Here is a 21,336-nt window from a genome sequence, read left to right on the forward strand (position 1 = left end):
GGAAGAAACTATTCCTGTGCCTTCTCATATTGTGGCTTCTTCAGGGAATTTCCACCGACCACAACTGGTGAATTTAGCACCAGCCCTCGAGCAAAAGTATGAAGCAAAGGTCCAGCAAGGCTCCTGGGTCTTTGCTTGCCTTTTCAAAAGTGTTTCAGGCAGTGAAACAGGAACCCGCATAAAAGCTGGGTTCAGATAACACCGAGATGGGTCAGCAGCTTTGAATCCCAACACTCGGCCTGGTTACCGTGATGCCAGCTCCTCCTCCCAGCTATCCCCACTTGGTGTGCAACTGAGGGTGGTGCCTGAAACCAAGGACACTGTCTGAAAAGGAGAGCCCACAGCTGCTGGCACCAAGCCATCTCCATCTAGGAGAATTTCCCTCGAATAAATATTTAAGCCGACATCAGGCTTCCTGTTAAGGAGAGTGAGTCAGCACATAGAGCTTTCTGCATGTTTGATCAACAATAAACAACAAGCATTGAGCAAACACAACTATGTTTGCAAGGATTTCTCGCAAGCTGTGGCATGACCATCCTTGTTATCAGGGAAACTGTGAGATCAACGGAACCGAGGAATCAATCTATTCCATGGTATATATAAATTTATTTTATTTATGAAAACCAGATCCTGTGCTGATTTGTCCCTTCCACTCATGGGAAGCAATGTAATCCCCTAATCTGGCCCAGGCCCTAACAAAGCTGTGATAAAAGGTGAAATCTGTCTTCCAGGCTTGCCTCCCAGCTACTCTTCCAAGACCCCAACAGGAACTGCAAAGGGTTTTCCTGTGATCAGAATTCATGTCACATTCCCAAAGTCCTGGAAAGTGTCTGCCTTATTGAACTAATCCCTTTTCCAGGGCTAGCAGATGGGGAGGCACATTTCAGCAGCAGCAGCTCTTCTCATAAATCAGGCTTGTTGGTCACTGGAGGCAACCTCCTTCCCTTCCTTCGCCCCATCTGAATCCTGTCCAAAGGCACCCTTCAGTCTTCCCATCTCTACAAAGCCTGCCCTGCTCTCTCCTCTTCCATGAGCTCTCCCTGCCTTGGACTCCAGTGGCACCAATTTTTTGAAGCTCTTGCTTGGCATGTGGATCTGTTCCATGCCTCTGCCATTCCTCCTGGTCACATGCTAAGTTGTGCAATCCCAAAGACTGCCCTATGTGTCATATTTCCCATGATATGCAGCCCTGTGCTTTGCATATTTATTAATTATAAAGCAACCCAGAGTACCATAGAGCTTTTGTGACCCAGGGAAGACCTACACTGCACAACAAGAGGGCAGTCTGTGGCTCCGTTTCTTGTAAAATCCCCTCAGCCTCTCCCCTCCCCTCTCTTCCAAGATTGCATCTGTAAAACATGGCATTCTGGGCACCATTCACATTAGCAGGCTTGGATACGAAACATAAATAGAATCAATTGTAATTTCTGTAGTGGGCAGAGAATCTTTTTTCAAAAAAATCTTTTGCCTCAGCAGTCATTAATTAGACTCAGATTTTGCAGACACTCAGACCAGGCATTTCTCCTACACTATTATTTCTATTCAGCTTATTAAAAAGTCCAAATTGAACAAGAATTCCCAGAGCTTGAACAGGCTACAAAGATTGCAGAGGGGCATGTTCAGTTAATCCTCAGATCATTCCTATTCTTCCTGCAGCCCCTCCTCCTATATTGAGGAATCTGCTGAGACCCACTATAAAAGCAACAGCAGAATTTTAGAACGAAATCAGCTCCCAAGAAAGGCCACTCACTTTTCCAGTCTGCTCATCTTACTAAATAAACCACATTTTGAAGTTCCCAGCTCTCTGAGCTTTTCTCCTGCAGACATGAGAAGAAAGTGGTTTAGTGGGGAAACAAATGAATTTCCTACTTTTAGAACCTTGTTTATCCTACACTCCTTTGGATCGGATTCTCATTGAGTGTGAAACTAACAGAGTAGCATCTATTTAAGTGAGTGGGGTGCCCTCCCTCAGACAAAAACTTTGGCATGTTTTAAGAATAAGCTTTATTGTTTAAGATACACAAACTGCTTCAAAATGTGTTTTGTTGCATGTAAGCGTGGTATAATGTATTTGGTATAGTGTATTAGTGTACATAAAATCATATATGAATCCCAGAAATACGTGTGTATAATATTCCATATTTGTATTTGTAAAGTTTTTTTTTTTTTTTTTTTTTTAGAGATGGGGTCTTGCTATGTTGCCCAGGCTGGTCTCAAACTCCTGGCCCCAAGCAATTCTCTCACCTTCACCTCCCAAAATGCTGGACTTACAGGCATGAGCCACTGCACGTGGCCATATTCCATTTTTATTTAAAGTCAGATTCTATAGAACTGACATGGATCTGGGGTAATGTCCATGGTTAACAATATGTGTGCCTATTAAAGTGTGGAGAATTTAGTTAGAAAAGGCAACTTTTTTTTTTTTTTTTTTTTTTGAGGCAGAGTCTCGCTCTGTTGCCCAGGCTGGAGTGCAGTGGCGCTATCTCGGCTCACTGCAAGCTCTGCCTCCCAGGTTCACACCATTCTCCTGCCCCAGCCTCCCGAGTAGCTGGGACTACAGGCGCCTGCCACCACACCTGGCTAATTTTTTGTATTTTTAGTAGAGACGGGGCAACTTTTTAAACATTTTATTAATTAGAGATTAAATCATTTCAAAATTCATGGGGACAACATTGACAGTCCTGAAGATGTGTTTGAGCCAGTTGTGTGTCCCAAGCTGCCTGGCTATCCCCAGGCTTATCCAATGTGCTTTCTGCCATCAGCTGTAATAATGTTTGTGGCGCTTCTGTGGGAGGCTGGGCCCCACCTGCCAACTACAGTTCTCTATGTTTTTCCCAAGAAAAGGGGTTGAGGCCTTTACAAAGCGGCCGACCTAATACAGGGGATTATGATATGCCTACAACATTTTTTTTTAAGGTAAGCAATTTTTTAAAAATGAGGTGTTGAAATTGGCCTCTTGGGAAGGCAGCAAGTCCCCAAAGATGGTGGTACTTAATCAGACGAGGGGAGTATTACAAGATGCAGCATATGGACTTGTATTCAGAAGACCCTGAGGTTACACTTATAGGGGGAAAGGGAGATTAATACATAATATGCTACAATGCCAGTTTATTAAGACGTGCAGGAAGTGTGTCATTTATTCATTTATTTATCCAATATTTATTTAATGCCTACTATGTGCCAGGCTAGTCATTGTGAATATAATAAGTAAAAACAAACCCAGTCCTTCTCCTTGTAGAGTTTATAATCTAAGAAGACAGTGACCAAACAATAAAAAAAAAACACTGTAAATTATAAACTAGGATAAGTTATCTAAAGGATGGCAGTTTACATTAAAATGTGCATGGATATAGAGATATTTCATTGGTCAAATCACCAGCACTTAGGTGGCAGAACTCATATTGGATTTGGAGAGTGACAGAGAGAGCAAGGCTAACTTAAACGTTCAGGTTTTTGTCTTAGACAACTGAACAGATGTAAATGGTCGGTAGATACTTAACCATCCTTGACACCAGCATACTTCAAACCCCATACATCTTTAAACCAGAATTTGCCCTTTACAACAAATAAGACACCAAGGAACATGCTCTGAAAGACTTTCTGAAATATGTGTGAAAGCAAAAGACACCTATACCATCAAGGGATAAAAGAGATTGGTCCATTATAAACACACAAAAAAGTTCTCCAACAGGAAATGGCCAAGTAAATAAAGATTGGTTGTTTATTAAAGCAAGAAGCAGAGCAAGTAGAAAAAAGAAATGCCGTGCCTATGATAAGGGAGGGATTCCTTATAACTCTGTGCAGATATTCACAGTTCTGTAAAGATTCTTGAGAAATCTCTGCATAAACTGAGAACTTCATGACAAAGGACATTAGATTTTTAGAATTTGAAAAAATAAACTCTTCTATACAACCCGGACTGGTCCACAGTGGATTTCACTTTAAATATATCAAACAGCTCCTGTAACTTGGCAAAGTTCTTGTACATCCGCTGCCTCTCTTACTCGTCCTCCCACCAATAATCCAATGAGATGTACAAAAGTCAACTTACCAGAAACAACACATGACAATTATTTAGCTCTTTATGGATTTCAAACATACTTTTCCATCTATTTTCTCTTTGAAATCTGTCCAAAAGTTGGCAGGAAAATAGCATTAACCTTGGTTCAGCTTTTGTCAGCAAATATGATTAAGCAGAAGGCCAGGGGTGGGCGATGGGGCGTAAGCACATGTGAACCACGGTCCACGCCCAAAAGTAGCAGCAGTAGCAATAGTAATGACAAAGGAAGAGCTAACAGCCACTGTTGTTTGAATACATGCCAGACATTCTCTTAAGTGCTTTACTGCCAAGGTCATTTTGACCACTCTTCTTGGTGCCTTATTTTCATAAGGTGCTCATGCTGGCTGGTGACCCAAGGGTTATTAACTTTCTGTGGATCGATCACATCTGTCTAGTTCTGTCTATAAGACAAAAACCTTGTCAGTTTTCCTTGATCTCATGCTCTCCCTCACCGTCCAATCCAATATGAATTTTATTACCTAAATCTGATTGATTTTCCAAACAAAATATCTCTGCGTTCATGACTGTTATTTTATTTAACCATCATACAGCCCCTTGAAGTTGGTGTTTTTCTTATCCCATTTTACAGCAGAGGAAACTGAGATTTGGAGGTTTAATAACTTGTCCGAGTCCACATGGCCAGTAAGTGATGGGACTTGGATTTGAATATAAACCCATTCAGAGTCCAAGTCTATCTTCTCAGTCTCCAGAGCTTAAGTTCTTGATAGTAATAGCTACCATTAGTTGATTACTTATCAGGTTTTAGGCACTGTGCTATGGGCTCTGCCTGTGTGATCTCATTTAATCTTCCCACACAACAACTTTATGCTCGTACTTCAGGTAGATACTATTGTTATCCCACTTTTATAGAGAGGAAACAGGGACTCAGAGAGGTTATGGAACCTGCCCAAGGTCACACTGCTCATGAGTGAGTTGACCTCAGCTATTTGATTCCAGATTCCAAGCAATTACTCAGGATACTGAACTGCTTTCCAAAATTGGGGTTCAGAAAAGTTAAGGGATTTGTAAAGGAGCATAGGTCAGGTAAATACGGACCAGGGCCAAGACCCAACTCTTCACATGGGATTATACTTGAGGCATGCAGTTATCTTATCCCTCTCTCCTCTGCAGATCAATCATACCCTCACCTTAAAGCCTCTTACCTCTAACATCAGCCTTACCCTGTGTAAGTCTCTTCCACTGCATCTAGTGATTTCCCATCAGCGATTCCCCAGTGCTGTGTCTACACCTCTGCCATGGCTACCACTGCCCGGGCCTCCCTACCCCCACACAGTCTCCAGTCCCTGAGCTGATCTGCTGTCTGCTACAGTTCAGACAGGCTGATTACCATACAGTCTTGGCTGCTAAGAACCACGAGAACCCTTCAAATCCACCAACTGCCATTGTGACTTCCTACCTTTTGAAACCAGACATTTCAAATGAGTAGGAGCCCCAGTCCCAGACAAATCCTGCCCATCCCCCTCACTGATAAATTTTACTCTATTGGCTGTATTGCATCCTTCCAGATGTTTTAAGTTAAGATTGGGAAAGCTGTGTTTTTACTGGATTGAATCACAGTGCTTGGCTGGCATTTTTTGGCCCTCCATACACCCCTTAGATTTATCAGCTAATTGCAGACACTTTGAGAGAATAATACAGCATGTGTTTATTATGACAACCCCTGTTAGTGTGCCTTTGTGGTTAAAGATCCACGGATGGTTCCTTTACCAATCCCTGGTTAAGGATCAGAGTTGGTTCAAAAAGGTTGGTTGAAACTCGGGTTGGGTAAAAATTTCATGTGTGTGTTTGGGGAATGGGAACAGGACTAGTCCAAAAGCTCTTTTTAAATTCTTGGACTGTTTTGAAGTCTTTAGTTTTGGATGATAAAATGATTTATTAGGAGATGTCAAATGCCTGAGGAATTTTATTTAAAACATCAAAAAACAGCTTTGTGTTGTTCTAATATCACTGTTTAATAAGTTTCTCCCTCTGGGCTACCTCTATTTCTCAAATGTGGGCTGTCTGGAGACTTGTGCCTGAGGACAAGTCAAAGGGGGTGGCTTCCTCCCTTGGTCATGGCAACCACTGGCTGAAGTACCCCATCAAACAGGAAGAGCCCAAGAGCAGCAAGTTCAGGGATTGGCAAATGGACAATCTTCACAATTCAGGCAGGGCTGTCTGGGATGAATCACTGTGCACCAGGATGCTAGCAAGTCCCAGTCCTAATACGGTGCTATATGCGCAAGAGACCGAAAAGACTAGATCAACCATAAGGCACTGGGGAAGCCAGCAGGGAAACACAGGTGCCCAGGATATATCCTTGGGGTCCTTGTTCCCAAGTTAGACTGACAATGAGTGGAAAACAGGAGCTCAGTGTTTTCCCCAGGTGCCCAGAGCAGGTGTGTGAGGACCGCTGACTCTAACAGAGATGGGCAAGGGACATGGGAGTCCGGAGCATTCCCTTCATGCTACAGTCAGGATAGACTTAGGGACCAGGGAGGAACTGAGGCTGCACCTGTGTCTGGGGTGGGTGGAGGTGGCTAGGTAAGCCAGAGGCTGAGGAAATGAGGCAGAAGCTGAAGGAACTAATTACTTCCAACTGCGGAGTCAGAAGGATGCTGCAAACAAATAGGGGAATCAAAGTATAAAAATGCCATGAAGTTCTACAGAGTGAAGGAAAAGTAGTCAGAAAATCTGAATTTTAGAATTGTCAAGAAGAAATGTTGCTTTTGGTGACATTCAGGTACATAGAGTTACCTAAAATACATGGTTGGGAGATAACCTATTTCAATGAATGCATCTTAATATTTTCTTAAGCATGTTTGTTCATTTTCTTTCGCAATGCTTCTCTATAAGGATGCCCAGATTTCTCTCTGGAATGGGTAAATATTACCTCTTCTGAGAAACTGATTTGTTTTCATTCCACAGATTGAGAAAGCTCATAAATATTGGCTGTCCTTTTCGTTTGCTACTAGAAAGCTTGGAACTAAGTCCACTCTAGCAAGGAAATAAGCTCCTCAGCATATTTTTTCTATGCTATTCTCACTTCTTGCGTCATCTTCCCTTTATTTTCCCTTTAGTCAGCCCCACATTTTCATTTATTCTCTTTCATTTGTGTCTTGTGATATATCACTTAAGCTGTAACAAAGAAGCATATGTAAAGAAATACAACGATGCAAATAAATGGGCGTTTCCCAATGCTAAAAGATGCTTTCTTCTTTCACAGACTTTAAATTTTATAATCATATCGTCAGTTGTTTTAACAAATGCCCTTTTCAAGAATAGAGAAAGGGTTTCCTTCAGCCCTCTAAACCATCTCAAATTCCAAATTAAGTAAAGATACTGCATTTGGTTGGTAAATTAACTCAATGTCTTATACTTGTTAAAAATACTTGATTCAAATTCTAGAATCAATATTCTCAAGGTAGGATTTATAAATGGTGGAGAGAAACTTAGGTGCTACCAGTGAGAAACCCCACTCTAGCCAGCAAAAGTCTTCATTATTAACTCCTGTGAAGTCACAGTGCTCTGCTGACTCTCCACTCAACCCTATAAGACTCATTTGTGGACAAGTGTACATTTCCATTTAACTAAGTCTCAGGAGGTCTTCCTGAAGAGTGAGGCACAAATGCCCCCTTTGAAGCTCACATTTTCCAGACTTTCCAAGCAAAAAAGGAACTCTTGGTCATCTGACTATGCAGCTTCTGTGGAGAGTTGACCATTTCCGTCCTATCTCTCCAGCTCTATCTAGTATCACTCTCTTATTTCTGCTTTTCAAGCTGCCTTTGTTCCAGTTCAAGAAATCTATGTACTTTTTCCTTCTCACCTTTGCTCATACCATTCCCTGCCTGGACCCTAATCCTCCCCTAACCCACTCCCTTTCATTTGAGTCCCACCCTCAGCTCCCAGCTCTTCCATGAAGCCTTTCCTAGCATACCTGCCCCAGCATCTCCTCCATGAACTCTGCAGCTCCTACTGTCTACTCTTTCACCCTTGCACCTACCAATAGGAGTGGCCATTGGCATTTATCATTTCCAGAGTTAAGTCCCATTTCCGCAACCCTATGTTAAACCTCTGCAAAAACTAGGACTGGCATAGCATAGGCTCAGTAAATACCTGCCAAAAGAGCAAATGAATGAATAATTCTTAGGGCTTTTAGGATACCCAACAGCATCTAGCACAATCTGGCTTAATAAATGTTTGGTATTGGTACTAGTCAAGATGTTAGACTCCTCGCACCCCCACCGCAACCAAATGTCCTTGAACCTTCCTATCTCTATCTCAGTAGCTAAAAGCAGAACCCTGATTCTGTCTTTGAACAAAATAAGCTGTGCATTGACTCTTTTATTTCCGCTCCTCCTAGATTTTGAAGAAGTCCTGCATCGAAATTCTAGCAGCTGAACCATCCACCATATGTGCAGGAGGTAAATTGAAATGAAATGCTAATTGCTTTCATACAATTGATGATATTTTGAGTTCAAGTCACGTATGTACTTCATTGTTGGTGGGGTGGGAAAGAGGAACAGGAAGGGGTAGGGTGAAAAGAGGAGCTGAAATTGCTAACCAAATTTGCTCCAAGGAGAAAAGGAAAGAAAGAAGCCACATGTCAGTTGTTTGGAAGTTAAAAAAAAAAAAAAAAAATCTGTCCAAATTCTCTTCTTTCACTGGGCGCGGCGCCTTATGCCTGTAATCCAAGCACTTTGGGAGGCCAAGGCAGGCAGAGCCCTTGAGGTAAGGAGTTTGAGACCAGCCTGGCCAACATGGTTAAACCCCATCTCTACTAAAAATACAAAAAATTAGCCAGGTGTGATGGCGCTTGCCTATAATCCCAGCTACTCGGGAGGCTGAGGAAGGAGAATCTCTTGAACCCGGGAGGCAGAGGTTGGGTTGCAGTGAGCCGAGATCGCACCACTGCACTCCAGCCTGGGTGACAGAGCAAGACACCATCTCAAAAAAAAAAAAAAAAAAAAAAAAAGTTATCTTCTTTCATGGGACCTAATTAGAAGGGAATTGTAGAAATACTGGATTCTTATACTGAATACTCAGTGACTACCAACACCCTACCTCTGGATAGAAATGGAATCACCCCTCTTTTTCATGAGGCCCTGCAGATACCAGACAATCATAGTGGTCATAGGCCATACTGGAAATACTGCTATACTAAAGTTTTTAGTTGGATGCTGGCCTTTTCACACAGTTAATATATTTATCTTAATTGTTTAATCTGCCAGTCCTCACACAATGGTAGTGGACGGCTCTGGTTGTCCCTGTAGAGGGCCATATAGTTTTGTCATTAATAAGGAAGTCTCTATGTAAAGAATTAGCCTTCTTCGAGTCACAAGATTTTCTCTAACTGATCAAAATCAGGGTCATGCTCGTTTCATATTTAATGGACTGCTTAAAACTTCAACCACATTGGCGCTTCTCGTATAATTCTTGACAGGTTCCCCATCACTCTTCTTTCATTCATTTGAAAAGTATTCTTAAGTGCCTGCTGCATGCCAGGCACTGTGCTAGGTGCTGGAGATAAGGAAGGAAAAACTGTGTGTGTGAGTTCCTGTCCCCCAGAAACTTGCATCTTTCACCATTGAGAGTTTATTGTTGATATCACCTTTTCAGCCTGCCAAAATACAGTGCCAGTTATTAATTTACCAACAGAAAATATGTCATACAACCTGATAAGGTAGGAAGCATTAAAGGAAGAACTTTCAGGCCTCTTCAAACACTACACACATCAATGTTTATGGCATATTTTACTGGTATAAATGAGGGAACTCCTTAAGGATTTTATTCCAGTTTCTGGCCTATAGTTTAGAACAACTGAAAGACTTTCAGGGAGTTAGGTGCACTAAAAAATCGGTGCCAGCAGCAAAACATCAAGTATATATGTAAAGATATAAAGTTGTTATCAATACTTGGTAACTAGTTATGTACATACATAAATATACAGCATGCATACATAAATACATATGTACATACATAAATGCATACCTACATAAAGTTGTTAGCAAAATACTTGGTAACTAACTATTCAGAAATATGTGCTAATTTCCCAAAGAAAGGCAATCCCAAAAGATTACCTACTGACCTTTAAATAAATTGCTACCTGACCACACAGATGGCAGGGGTAAATGTGATTGCCACAGAGGTAGATCGGTGAGAATCTCTTTAAGAATTCAGAAATCTTACCTAGGCAAATTTGACAAAAACATATGACCACATGAATGCAGTGCCAGGGCTTCATAAGGGGCCTGTGCAGTGAGGAGCCTCAGTTAGGCTTCATGAATTTACCTTGAAGATAAATTCACCTCTGGGCTTTGTGTGCTTCAGGTAGAGGAATTGAGTAGGATATTTGATTAATTAAATCTCATGTAGTGTGTGTGAATTGTTTTATAAACACACATTTTATAGTTCTGTAATTTTAAAACAATTAGAAAATAAGGGAGTTCCTTGACTGCAATTATTGCTTTCATAAAGAAAACCCAGACTTTGAGTTTAGCAGTCTAATTGGCTGTGTTGTGCAACCTTGGAATGAATCAGAAAGTCTAAAGACAATGAACACAATTTCTGTTAATTCACTAGTATAATGAATTCCCTTCCTGTAGGCTCCTTGAAGACAGAGAAGGAAACTTATTTCTCTCTACTTCCCACTGCCTAGCAGGGTACCCAGCACTCACTAGGTGGCCAATAAATGTTGACTAAATGTCTTGATTCATGTATTCGTTAAAAAAACAATGCCACTGATACTTGCCTATTTGACCCTTATTAATTCCTTTCACCAACCATAAGAAGTTAATATACCTTTGAACTGCAACTAAAATGAAGCAAAATCTAAAATTAATAGACAAAGATAGAGTAAGACCAAAGTAAAAGGAAAAATCTCCACCACTTAGACAATGGAAAATTGCCTTTGTAAGTAATTTTAACCTCAAAAAGTAAACAATATCCCCTATATGTCATTAAGGTGTTCAAGACAATAAAAACACCACAAAAACAAAAATGACACAGAAATACCAGTGTCCACAGGATCTGATCATATCAAATTCATAGATTTCAATGTTTCTCATCAAGTGAAAAAGAAAAATAAATGAATTAAGAATTAAAAGATAATTTTGGAAAAGGTAAGGAAAATACAAGAAACAAATACACAATCCACTAATAAATTTAAACAAATTAAAGCAATTCAACAGATAAATTATTCCAAGGTTATTTGGTAGAACCAATAAAATAGACAAATCTGGTAAATCCAATCTAAGGAATCTTTCTTTAGATTTTCTTAAAATCTCTGGCTTATGTGCAATATTACATATTTTATAAGCAAACAACAGTTATCTGTATCAGAGTAAACTATCCAATCATATTATCTTTATTTCTTATAGAGAAAAAATTAAAACAAGACACAATGATGAAAGCTAGAACTAGGTTTTGTAAAAGGCAAGCTCCCACCTCTCAAATTCAAGTCGTAAGGGTTTAAACATGCTGATTACAGAATAACATTTCTAAGAAGAGAATGAAACTCCCAAAAGATATCCTTACATCAAAATTTCTTCCATAGATTTCCTTGAAGATTTCTTGTTGACCATTCTCTGGAGTAAACATAGTTTTCAGGAAGCCTGGGAGCCCATTTCATTGTCCGGATGCCTGTCAGATAGAGCGAGGCGTAGCCCCTCTGTGACTTTCATTAAGCTAGTTCAAAGATATAAGTATTTACGTGAAAGTGCTTTGAAAAGTATAAATTGTTATGCAGAACAAGATGGCTTGTTATCAGCATCATCTTAATAAGGATTAAAGGCCAGTGTTAGAATCATGATGTTGATAATGTCATACCTAGATGAGAAAAGCATTCCTGTATGTTTCTCCGCTGAAAGAAAATTGGGGAAGAGTATCTGCAAAATGATTAATTAACTCAACATGTATTGGGGGAGAGAGTAAAAAGGAAATAACTGATTGTTCACATTTCTAACATATAATGGTGGGACCAATCCCTAGACAGATATGTAAAGAAGGTAAACTTTGCCTTCATCGAAAACCTTTCCTCTTAGCCTCTTCCCTTCACTCTGTGAATTCCTTCTTTTCCTTGGCCCCTAGAACAGCCCCTGCTGTGGAGCCCTACCCAGGTCTGTCCTGCTCAAGACACTCTATGCTGATGATTGCATTCCTCTAAGACAGTGATCTCAGCTGGCTTTCAACCCCAGCTCAACACCAGCAATGGTTCTGACAGCAAACTGAGCTCTGGGCGAGGCAGCGAGATAATGACAACAAAGCCAAAATCTAGCACAGGCCTTTATATGTTGGGCTGCACATAACAAGGTGTAATTTAATGGGACAAATATAAAGCGTTGAACTTGGGTTCAAATATCCAGTTTCACATACAGGCAGGTTTAGGAAATCCTGACTTAGTAACAATTAACGGTAAGATAGCAGAAAAGACAAGAATGATCATAGTTGTCTTGCTCCCCAACAAGAATGCCTCTGACTAAGAAAAGCTGACACAACCTTAGGGTGCATCAATAACCATCCAGTGTCCAGGTCAGGAGAACTAACAGTCCTATTCCATGTTCAGACCATGGTTTCAAGTCCCAAATTTTAAGAATGGTATTGACAAAGGCATGTCCATAGGCGAAGAGGTAATGGATCTGGAAATCACATTATAATTAATTCATGGATTCATTCTTTCTTTCATTTCCTTCTTTCCTTGCTTTTTTCTTTCCTTTTCTTTCTTCTTTCCCTCTTTTTCTTCCTGTTTTCCTTTCTTCCTCCTTTCATCGATTCTTAGTGTCTTTTATGCACCAACCCACATGAAAATGTATCAACACAAAAATGCATAAGACTTAGTCCCAAATCCACCCACACCCCTATGAAACTCACAGTTCACTCTGGGAGATAGTCATATGTTCAAATAAATTACAAAACCACGCAGTAAGCACTGTAGCAGAAGTCTGCTTACAGAGTAGTGAGAGCACTACTGAGATGCCTGTGCGATGAGGAAATACTGAAGTCATCACAGAGACTGAGGCCAGGAATTGAGATACTCACAAGAGCATCTTTAGATATTTGGAGGATTCCCATGCAGAAAGAAATTATTAGGCTTATTATGTATAGCTCCAGGAGACCACCATGGAGGGGTTGGGGAGGAATTCAGTGAGGCAGATTTTGGCTTACCACATGCAACTTGTACAACTAAAGCTTTCCAACAATGGAGTGGATGGTCTGAGCTCTCCCCCCATAGAATCATGTGAGCAGTGGCAGAATGGCCATCTGTAAGCAGATGCTATCAGGAGAAAACCTCCTCCGGGTCTCCTTTACAGCTTCAGATTTCTAAAGATTTAATTCAGTTTCCACTAAGATATTAATGGATGATTATTTCTCAATAACTGAGGAAACCAGTATTCCTGGAACTGTTTCACATTTTTAACTGGAACTCTTACTGGGGAGAGGGAATGGAGAGAATATGTAATCTGCTGCCATCAAAAAGAATTCCAGCCGGGCACGGTGGCTCACGCCTGTAATCCCAGCACTTTGGGAGGCCAAGGCAGGCAGATCACGAGATCAGGAGATCGAGACCATCCTGGCTAACACGGTGAAACCCCGTCTCTACTAAAAATACAAAAAATGAGCCAGGCGTGGTGGCGGGCTCCTGTAGTCCCAGCTACTCGGGAGGCTGAGGCAGGAGAATGGCATGAACCCGGGAGGCAGAGCTTGCAGTGAGCCGAGATCATGTCACTGCACTCCAGCCTGGGCAACAGAGCGAGACTCCGTCAAAAGGAAGGAAGGAAGGAAGGAAGGAAGGAAGGGAGGAAGGGAGGAAGGGAGGAAGGGAGGAAGGGAGGAAGGGAGGAAGGGAGGAAGGGAGGAAGGGAGGAAGGGAGGAAGGGAGGAAGGAGGGAAGGAAGGAAGGAAGGAAGGAAGGAAATCAAAAAGAATTCCAATCACTGCATTGGTAAACAGAGTGACACTCCATCAGGAAAGAAAGAAAGAGAGAGAGAAAGAGGGAGGGAGGGAGGGAGGGAGGAAGGGAGAGAGGAAGGAAGGAATCCAATCACTGCACTGGTGAACATATATAGGGAGAGAGAACCTTCCCAGAACTCCTCCACTCTCAGAGGTTATAAACTGGCAGCCTACAAGTCCTATCTGATCTGCATATATATTCTTCTTGATTCATACTGCATTTTTTAACTTAAATTTATTGCTAACATTTAGAAAATCGGATTTCACCTAAAAATACAGATTTTCATCTTGACTTGAAAAATCAGAACTGACAACACTGAACCTGTATTTATTACAAGTTAATGATTATTGAGGACTGAATAACTTCCTTTAAAAGAAACGTATACACTTTCCAGTTCACCATACTCCTCACCACTCTCCATTGTCACCCCAGTACCCAGGCCAAGCATGTGGCTGCCATTTAGCATGGTGCTTATGTCACTGTATTTACAGTCCCTGTTCCAAAACATGCAGGAAGTCACCTGCTATGTGGAAACCCTTTGTAGCAACTTTGACATTACTTGTATTTCAGTAATTCTGCTCCCAATATAGACTCTTTTTTAAAGTTTCTAATTAAATATTTTTGCAGATTAGCCTCTGTTTAATTAAGAATATGGACCCATTTGGCCCTGTCTAATTTAGCTCCTCTCTGGAAAATGCACCCTGTGCCTGAGCACAGTCTTTCTGTGGTCCCACTCAGTTGGCCTCCAACTTCCACAGTTCACAATGTGCTATGTAAGCAAGGATGCCAGGAAGGAACTAATTGGAATCAAGTGTGCAACTTGCCAACTGCTCTACACTTGAAGTTCTTGTACTCCAGAACTGGAAGGAAGTTATAATTAGCTCCTCACACTGTCATTTCAGCAGCAGTTGTATTCCTACTGTGTTTCCCACTGTTTCTGATAAAACTGGGTGAGCTGGCACAAAAGGAAGGTCATTTAAGGTGTCATGTTTACCATTTGGAAATTTCGATGTTTAAAACAGACACATTCAAGCAACATCAGATAGTGGTGTATTCCTCTCACTTTTCATTGTTTTTCGAAGCATTCATTTCTGACCTTTGGCCACCTCTTCTAAATGGATTGCTTCATTCTCTGCTCAATCTTTCCTTTCATTTAAAGACATTTCTATGTGGAGGAAGGACTCTCATTTACAAATACAAAACAGCACAACACTTTGGAAGAGTTTTGGTAGTTTCTTACAAAATTAAATATACACCTACCATATGGCCCAGCCATTCCACTCCGAGGTTTTACCTAAGAGAAAAGGAAATCTATGTCCAAACAAAGAAAGGCTTGTGTACAAATGTTCATAGCAGCTCCATTTTTAATAGCCAAAAACAACTAAAATGTTCATCCACAGGTAGGTGGATAAACAAATTACAGTTTACCTGTAGAATGCACTAATTAATACTCAGCAATAAAAAGCAATAAACTATGTATAAATCTCAACATAATTGTGACTGTGTCCTAAAATAATTATGCTGAGTAAAAGAAGCCAGACAAGAAAATTACTTACTGCATGATCCTATTTACATAAAATTCCAGAAAATGCAAACTAATATACAGTTCCAGAGAGCAGACCAGTGGTTGTGTGGGAGTGGAGGTAGGGAGGGCTGGGAGGAGAGATTACAAAGCAACACTAGGGAAGTTCTGGGGGTGACAGCTACGCTCACTGTCTTGACTGTGGTATTATGATTGTGTACATATGTCAAAATTTATCAAATCATACACTTTATGTGCAAGTTATTGTATATCAATTATGCCTCACTCAAGTTGTTATAAATTAAAAGCTATAACTGAAAAAAGTTCTAGAACAATTCAGGCCTCAGAAAGCACCCATTATATGTCAGTCCCTACATTTTATTTTTGATGTTCCATACCACATTAAGCATCTAAGAGGAGAGCAAATTCAAACTGACTCACAAGATGAAATATCACTGACAATAATTTGGCACAAAAATCTTGGGTGACCAGAACAAGTGGAGAATATACAGATGTCTCATTTTCAGACACAGTGAATGACATGCAATCTTTATTGAGGTCATCTCAAAGCTATGTGTTCCACATTTCCAAAAAGAAAAAAGGAAACCAAAGAAATAAAAGGAGAGAACAGAATGGAATAAATCTATCGAACTACTTACTGACCTTATTTTTTCTTTTTTTAAATTGAGCTATATTTTACATGCTATAAAAATCACCCTTTTAAAAGGTACAATTCAGGCCAGGCGTGGTGGCTCACACCTGTAATCCCAGCATTTTGGGAGTCTGAGGCAGGTGGATCACTTGAGGTCAGGAGTTTGAAACCAGCCTGGCCAACAGGGTGAAACCCCGTGTCTACTAAAAATACAAAAATTAGCCCGGTGTACTGGCACATGCCTATAATCCCAGCTACTCCGGAGGCTGAGGCAGGAGAATAGCTTTAACTTAGGAGGCGGAGGTTGCAGTGAGCCAAGATCACGTCACTGCACTCCAGCCTAGGTGATAGAGTGAGACTGCGTCTAAATAAATAAAGTACAATTCAGTGGTTTTTAATGTATCACAAAGTTGTACAACTATAATAACTATCTAATTCCAGAATATTTTCATCACTCCAAGAAGAAACCCTATACCCATTAAGCAGTTATTCCCCCATTTCTCCCTCCCTCCAGTCCTGGCAGCCACCAATCTACTTTCTGTCTCTGTAGATCTGCGAATCTGGACATACCTTATAAAGGGAGTCATGCAATATGTGGCTTTTGTGTCTTGCTTCTTTTATTTAGCATAATGTTTTCAAGGTTCATCCATGTCATAGCATGTATGAGAATTTGATTTCTTTTGATGGCTCAATAATATTCCATTGTATAGAAATACCATACTTATCAGTTGATGAACATTTAGGTTATTTCCATTTTTTGGCTGCTTTTAATAATGCCACTGTGACCGTTAATATGTAAGTTTTTGTGTGGATATAACTTTCAATTCTCTTGGGTATATGTCTAGGAATGGAATTTGGGGGTCATAAGGTAACTGTGTTTAACTTTGTAGAAGAACTGCTAAACTATTTTTCAAAGAGGCCACAGCATTTTACATTTCCACCAGAAATGTATGTGGGTTATAATTTCTTCACCAGCAGATGCCATTGTCCATCTCTTTCTCTTCAGCAATCATAGTGAGTATGAAGTGATATCTCCATATGGTTATGGTTTGTACTTCCATGTGACTAATGATGTTGAACATCTTTTCATTCATGGACCTTATTAAGCCTCAGAAAATAAACAGGATTAGACCTGGTTGGGACCTGAATAAATGATCACCCTATCCTTCCCCTTTATTCTCTTTCTATGCCAAGATATGTTATTTATTCAATCACTCAATGAGCTCATCCTGAGACTGACTCAGTCCTGGGTTAAGGCACAACCCAGCATTCAGAAGAAATAGAAATCTTGGCCTCTGCCATCAGGAAGCTTTCAATGTAATTGGGAATAACAGTGACAAAAGAATATAGATCTTAAGGAAACCTTAAAGGATAGATAACTTAAAAGATTAAATCAAAGACCATTTTCAGGTGGAAAATTCCTCCCTAAAGCCCTGCAATCTTGAGGTACTTCTTATAGGAGCTGTAAGCCAACATACAAGTTGCCTAAAAACACAGCTGTACATATTTTGAAAGGTGGGTTCAGGGCTTTGTAGATTAGTGGAGTTAAATCACTATGTCCTGGTTCTAATGTGTCCTGGTTTTCACTTACTGGCAGATTCATTCGAAAGGGTTTTGTTACATAACGTCTATGTGTGAAGAGCTGACATTCTAGTCAGGCTGCTGGGCCAGATGTTTGAGCTCTTCTGGTAACCAAATGTGTGCACTAACACAGAAACCCTATCAGGCAGGATGGGAGCTCGCCTCTGCCCTGGTGCACTCCCCAGAGCATCATTTCCTCCACCGTCTCCCCCTGGCCTAGGGGGTTAAATTGTTTGGTTTCCACCATTGCCACATCATGGATTCCTGCTGTCTTTCTTCCTAAACTCCCTGAGGTGGGGCCAAGCAGACATGCAGGCAGCCTCTTTTATAGAGGATTTAGCAACTCAACTGGTAATGTTAGAACATGGTGTTAGAGAATAGAGTTTGGCATGTGGCCTGCATTTCCACAGTCTTCTCTTCCTCTGCTGATCTTTGAGGAAACAAGAGAAGTAGGCACAGAAGTGAGGCAGAAAACATTTGGAATCAGCAAAAACATCAAACAACAGATGTCTGTATGTCTGGCATTCAAAATGGACACAGAAATAGGTTTCTATAGGCTTAACTGAGCAAATAAGAGAAGATAAGATTCTTCTACAAGTGCTTGACACGTACTAAATTGCTTATTGAGCCAACCAAGGAATCTGTCAGATGCCTGACAGACATCTAGAGAAAACTACTAAGCCCATCTTTCTAAACGTAGCAATTGTGCATTTGCATCAACGTGTATGTATAAATCCTTCATAGTCATAGGACTTATGCTCCTGAAAAAACCATAGGCCCGTCACCTTAGCTTTTGGATATGAGTCCCAGTTTTTCTGCTTTACTAATGACATGACTCTGAGCAAGTCATTCAAAATGTCACAGTCTCCATTTCCTTATTGTGAAGGCCTCTTATACTTCTAAAAAGCATTCTTTTCTAACTTATACTCCTTGTGGCACATGTAGTGTCTCTGTATTCTTTTACTTAAATTTCAGTTTCTTGCTTCACATCCAGGCCTGTTCCACTTTTCTGCAAAATGAGCAAACCTGCCTAAAATTAAAATAAAATAAGCTTTAAAAAAAATCACAACTTCAACTCCTAAATGACTCATCTGTCAGAAGGCAGTGAGTCCCCCTTTTCGCATGGTGGTTCAGAAGCTAATGGCTGAGTTCTAAGGGCATGGCATTTGGTGCCTAACAGACCTCGATTCCAGTTCTGATTCTGACAAGTTACCAGCTGTGTGATCTTGGACACATTACTTAACTTCACTAAGATCAGTTGTCTCATCTGTACCTCCCCAGGCTGTGGTGAGGTTTAAATGACATCAGACATGTACAATATTTCACAGAGGGCCTGGCTCACATTGAGGGAGCAATTAGCATTAGTTATTATTGTCTTGGCAAACATGGCCTCTAAATTAGTTTCCTGGGACTGAAGGTGGCATATACTCATGACATTTATTAAGCTTCGAGAGTCCCATATACTAATTCTCTAATTTCATTATTCCTCCAACAACAAGTCTACATTTAGATGGCAATGTACTGTGTAAGATCCATATTCACAAACATTGCATTTTTTCCTCTGACCTTCAGTCTATTTCTCTTGTGATATGCCACATAGCATTATCCCGAGCCCCAATTTTTAGATACAAAAGGATGATAAAAGTGAAATAAAGTGGAACACTGACCATTAGATACCAACAAACTTAAGCAAATATTCCCAAACATTTAGCCAACTAATTATTGGGTTTTTTCCATGGTAGGAGTATGGTAAAGGAGAGTTGTTTTTACTTAATAACGATTTTATTCATGTGCATTAATCAAACATACATTATGCCAATGAGAAATTAATATGCAGGCCAGGCAAGATATATGATCTCTTCTATGCAGAGACAAATGAGTACTACACTGAGGGGCTGATATCAATTCAAGTAGGTAGTGCTTGGCAACTGACCACTGCTAAGAAAGACTTTGATTCATTCCTAAGTACAATTATTCCTACCTAGCCTATGTACTGTTACTGTGTGCCCAGTAGAGATAGGAATGCCATAGTGGTATCAAACAACTCCTGACCTAAAGGAATGTTTCTCCAGCTGGGGAAGAAAAGACAAGAGAACACCACCAGACCATACATAATGACAGTCCTACATTGTTCAGGACTAGCTGTGAATGCCCTAAGGCAGTGACTTTCTAAAATGTAGGCACCGTGGGCTCTTAAGAAATCCTTTCAGGGGAGTACAATGTGCAAAACAGACACAGAGGAGGTGAGTTGATTAAAGAGGAAGTGGAGGACCCCTCCCCTGTGGCTCCCTCCGGCTACTGAGATCACAGATTTTCAAACTGCCTGGATTTGAAAACTGGCTAAGATTTGAATGGACAGAGAGGAGGGAGGAAGGTGTTCTGCGTTAGGAGGACCAGTAAGCCCAAAGGTAAAAGGGTGGGAATTCAAATAAGAAGTGATAGGCCCTTCTTGGGACACCTAGTGAGGATGCACTGGTAAGTAGTGAAAGGAACCCACCTGGTTGCTTTTGGTGTTCAACCTAAATTAATTTTTGAATATTTTAAGCCTGGTGAAATAGTGAACAAATGCTCTAAATCAGGGCAGATGCGAAGCTTAAGGTTATTGGCCAAGTAACGAGTCTCGTCATTATTCTTTATTTCAGAGTCATTTCAAGTTGTCGTGAGAGGAAACGGCTTCCGACATGCCCGCAACGTGGACAGGGTCCTCTGCAGCTTCAAGATCAATGACTCGGTCACACTCAGTAAGTCCTTGCAGAGTCCATGGGTTTCTTCGACAAGTGGCTTCAAGGAAGGGAATTCCCACCCTTGTCTTCCAGCAAGGCCACACACATGAAACCAGCAGAAAAGAGTCTTATTTGCTGGAAAGACCCCCAGCAAGGGCATAGTGAGCCCTTACAGTGGTTCCAGTCAGAAAAGGCACCACTTGGGTGGGCACAGCCCCATGGGTGTCCAGCTTGGTAAGCAGAGCAAGGCTGGACTTGAGTCCCCGTCCTCCACAAAACACAGAGCCACAAGCCCCAGCCCTGCAGCAGCCCTCCGGAAGCAGCGGGGCACTGGTTTCCTTGTCCCCTGCCATCTACCGAGTGGCTCACTCTCAGGTGGGAGTGCTGGTGATGGTTAATTAGGACTGCAGAAACATGAGCCTCCTTAACAAAGTATTGGGACTCTTAAGGGTAAGTGTGAAAAAGGAATGGTCTAAATGCATTAATCTTGAATAAACCGAAAACCAAACCATTAGGCTTGCACATGTAGATTCTGCAGCTTTTTTCAATCTGGATGATTCTTGCGTGGAGTAGCCAAGAAACTCTCATCGTGGTGAATATCTTACATGAAATACAGGAATATGGAGTAAAACTAAGTGCATTTCATGAGAAAAAATGAATTATCATAACATTGGCTTCTTCACAAGACATTTGTAGCAGTCAAGTTCCTAATTTAAAGATGTACGTGATTCATGTGGTTGACCAGGAGAGATGGGGAAGATGATTATATGAGGGACAGATGCCAGAAGCACTGGTTATGATTTGCATCTGGCATCCGTCACACAGATAATTATTTATTCCACATCTGCA

General features: G+C 40.9%; 1 protein-coding gene and 1 non-coding gene across 7 annotated transcripts in view; both read left to right on the forward strand.

The window, feature by feature from the left end:
- ANTXR1 (ANTXR cell adhesion molecule 1) overlaps positions 1–21,336 on the forward strand; it is a 236,184-nt gene that overhangs the window by 69,292 nt on the left and 145,556 nt on the right. For all 6 annotated transcript variants that reach the window (NM_053034.2, NM_018153.3, XM_017005077.3 and 3 more), the window contains exons 9-10: positions 8,424–8,484; positions 20,407–20,505. In NM_053034.2, the coding sequence (NP_444262.1) occupies positions 8,424–8,484; positions 20,407–20,505 (160 nt within the window). The remainder of the gene's footprint in view (positions 1–8,423; positions 8,485–20,406; positions 20,506–21,336) is intronic.
- Positions 21,247–21,320, forward strand: MIR3126 (microRNA 3126). Its single transcript, NR_036073.1, has one exon. It is a non-coding gene; the product is annotated as a microRNA 3126 (primary transcript).

Source organism: Homo sapiens, chromosome 2 (genome assembly GCF_000001405.40).
Source record: "Homo sapiens chromosome 2, GRCh38.p14 Primary Assembly".
NCBI lineage: Eukaryota > Metazoa > Chordata > Mammalia > Primates > Hominidae > Homo > Homo sapiens.